General features: G+C 37.3%; 1 annotated feature.

The window, feature by feature from the left end:
• Window positions 825–1325: an enhancer, noted in NCBI's record as "OCT4-NANOG-H3K27ac-H3K4me1 hESC enhancer chr5:116542658-116543158 (GRCh37/hg19 assembly coordinates)". NCBI's record gives its function as "activates a minimal SCP1, AML or CMV promoter by ChIP-STARR-seq in primed H9 embryonic stem cells {active_cell/tissue: H9 hESC(primed)}" and the evidence as "EXISTENCE:reporter gene assay evidence [ECO:0000049][PMID:30033119]".

A 3772-nucleotide genomic window follows, 5' to 3' on the forward strand; every position in this document is an offset into this window, starting at 1 on the left:
TGATGGAAATGCACTTTACAACTCTAATGGATATATTTTAAGAAAGATGCTTTAAAAGCATACAGTGTTCATGAAATACTTTAAAACGATTCAGTGGCCCCAATTAGGTACATTAGAGAGGTAAAACTAATAAAAATACTGTAGCATTAGGACAGAGAGCCTATCCTGCTTTATTCTATTCAACAGGTGTTGTGGAGTTGACAAGGACTCTCCGAATTTTTTTTCTCAGATGTGTCTTATAAGAACTCAAGACATACATCTTCAGTTGGTTTTGCTTTTTCTCATTATTGTTATTGTTTTGTTTCTAGGTTAGACTATTTTGGGAGAAATATGCAGAAGGTAAAAATCTAAAATTTCTTCTAGTTTTTCTTAAAATTCTTTACACATTTAGAGACATAGTTAAAATACTAATCTGGAAAATTGATTTTAAAATAAATAATTACACATGAATAAATATCAACCTAAAATATGTTTTTAAAACTGAATATTCCACTTTAATTTATAGTAACTGATTATTATAATACATATGATACATTGCAATTACTTGTTACAGATAAACTGTCTTTTTTTAGCTAGGCCTGTGATTTCTGTTGATGACAGTAGTGCAAATTTCTAATTATTTTCAGGTTCACAGAGTCTCTAGTTTTTTTTTTTTTTTTTTTTTTTTTTTTATTAATCCAAGAGTTTCCTCTCATTTAATCTGCCTGTTTCTGGTGAACTTGCATATTAAATCATTATTATTTTATCATTTTTGTTAGATCAAATTTTTTCCTTAACCCTTGTCTTTTTACCTAATTTGTCTATTATCATGAGACTTCGCTGATCTCATTTTTTTATTCATCAAAATCACCTACATTAGTAATTAAATATATTATCTTTCAACATAACACAACCTCAAGACAGCAATCAGACAGTTTTCTAGGTCTGACCCTCCAGGGGTCATAGCTTCGTATGGTGCTCAAGAGTGATTTTTAAAAGATTTAATAGCCAATTCGGCAAAGACTGACCAATCAGAATAAAAAAATAAGTCATTAGGGCTGAGGCAGAGTCTCAGAGGTTCCCTGATGTGGCAGACATTAACACTTGAATTGCTGAATTGATTGTGGCCTGTGTGGCTTCCTGGGAGATGGCCCAGGCTAGCTGGTTGGGATGCTCACAGCTGTGGTCATTCACCAATTTCTAAGTCTTTCATTATTCAACAGCAAAAATGTTTATGCAGGATCTGAGTGTGTGCCTGATGCATGTGACCCCTGGGGAGGTTGTCTCTCCAGAGATCCATCTAGATACGCTTCAGGTGTGTGTCTACCCAAATCTCATCTTGAATTGTAACTCCCACAATTCCCACATGTCGTGGGAGGAACCTGGTGGGAGGTGGCCGAATTATGGGAGCGGGTCTTCCCTGTGCTGTTCTCGTGATAGTGAATGAGTCTCACGAGATATGGTGGTTTTAAAAAGGGAGTTTTCCTGCACAAGCTCTTCTTATCTTGTCTGCCGCCAGTGAGACGTGCCTTTCATCTTCTGCCATGATTGTGAGGCCTCACCAGCCACCTGAAGCTGTAAGTCCAATAAACTGCTTTTGTTTGTAAATTGCCCAGTCTCAGGTATGTCTTTATCAGCAGTGTGAAAACTCATTTCTTCCTCAAATACTTGTAGGAGGTCCCCATTCATGAGTGATTTAGCACCTTGCTACTTGCAGCGTAGTATATGGCTCAGCAACATCATAGCCTCATCTGGAGTTTCTTGGCAAGACAGAATCTCAGGCCCTACCCTAGACCTACTAAATCAGAATCAGCATTTTTGCAAGGTCCCTGCGTGACCTGTGTGCACCTTGAAGTTTGGGAAGCATTGGTTAGCACCTGCATCCTGGCTGGCCAGGAGGTATAAATGAGTTTATTCAGTATTTTTTAGTCCAGACCACAGATTAGAAGCCCCTGGGAAACATTTTAAAAATGCACGTGGCTAGGTCCTATCCCATGAGAATCTAATTTAATTGGTCTGGGATGGAGCTTATAATAGCAATTTTTAAAAACTTTACTTGGTGATTATTCTGTGCAGCCTGGGTTAAGAATAATGACATCTCTATCTGATGTAACTAGAGTAGGTATAATTTGTTTCATCTGGGACAAAAATGGACAGAACCGCATGGCAAATTTACTCATATTTGCCACTGGGCTTGAAAATCAAAGTTGGCTTCAGGCTCCTCTGCTGTCAAGAAATTCAGCAGGTGACCCCTTTGAACAGAAATGTATCTATTAATTGTGGTTTTATGCCTAATTTCTTTAAGACAGAAAATTACAAGACATGGGGAAAGAATCTGCTATTATTTTAGACTGGTGGTCTCAGGAATTAAGATTTTCTCATGTACAATGTAAAACTGGCCTTCTATGTGAGACTCTCCTCTCATGCCAAGTTAGAGTTCATTCATTCATTCATTCCTCATTCATTTAGTTATTCAATCTTTCATTCAAATTATATACATGGATCTTTCTATGTCACCAGTAACATAACTGGTAAAAAGGACAGTGTCTCCAGTTGGATCTTCCTTTTGCTATCTGCCTCTCAGTATGAAAATATGACCATCTAATTTTCTCTTCAAGCTGGAAAAGTAGGTTTTGCTAAATATGGACAAAATGCATTTTTTTATAATATAGAGAAATTATCTGACATTAAAGGGCAATTCTTAAATACAATAGATTTTGTTCATTTTCCATAGGTATTTCTCTGTCAATCAGTTTCCTGAGACATGAGGCACCAGTTAACAAGATGCACCTCACCAAGCTGTTGATCACACACTACTGCCCAGCTGTTGCAAACCGAACTCTCATCATATAGAGAGGGAGAGGAAGAAAAGGTGTTTTTGCCAATGCCATGAAAGGCAACAGTAAGGCAACTTATTAGAGATAATCTAGTAACTAACCTGTGAGCTCTAATCTGAGATACAACTTCAGGGACCACGCATAGTCTGTGGTCCTGAAGTAGTGAGCCATTGTGTACTTTTTTCACCAATGCCTCAATGATTGCAATTGATTTTTTTCATGCATGCATGCATTAGTCCAACAAACTTTTATTGAGCACCTGCTATATGGGTTGCACTCTGTGGAACTTTGGAGAAATAAAGAGGTGTTTTCTGGTCTCACATTGTTTCTAGGCTAGAGAATTGCTTCTGTGAAAATATCAAATGCATTATATTATAATCACTTCTTTTAAAAAAAACTTTTATTTAAGTTCCGGGATAGATGTGTAGGTTTGCTACATAGATAAACATGTATCATGGGGTTTTGTTGTACAGATATTTCATCATCCAGGTATTAAGCCTAGTACCCATTGGTTGTTTTTCCTGATCCTCTTCTTCCTCCTACCCTCCACCCTTCAATGGGCCCCAGTGTGTGTTGTTCTCCTCAGTGTGTCTATGCGTTCATTTTTTAGCTTCAACTTATAAGTGAGAACAGGGTGTATTCTCTGTTTTCTGTTCCTGTGTTAGTTTGCCAAGGATAATGGCCTCCAGCTCCATCCATGTTTCCTGCAAAGGATATGACCTCTTTCTTTTTTATGGCTGTATAGTATTCCATGGTATATATGTACCACATTTTCTTCAGTCTAATGTTGACGGGCATTTAGGTTTATTCCATGTCTTTGTTATTGTGAATAGGGCTGCAATGAATATACATGTGCATGTGTTGTTGTAATAGAATGATTTATATTCCTTTAGGTGTATACCAAGTAATGAGATTGCTGGGTCGAATGGTATTTCTGTCTTTGGGTCTTTGAGGAA

Source organism: Homo sapiens, chromosome 5, assembly GCF_000001405.40.
Source record: "Homo sapiens chromosome 5, GRCh38.p14 Primary Assembly".
Taxonomy (NCBI): domain Eukaryota; kingdom Metazoa; phylum Chordata; class Mammalia; order Primates; family Hominidae; genus Homo; species Homo sapiens.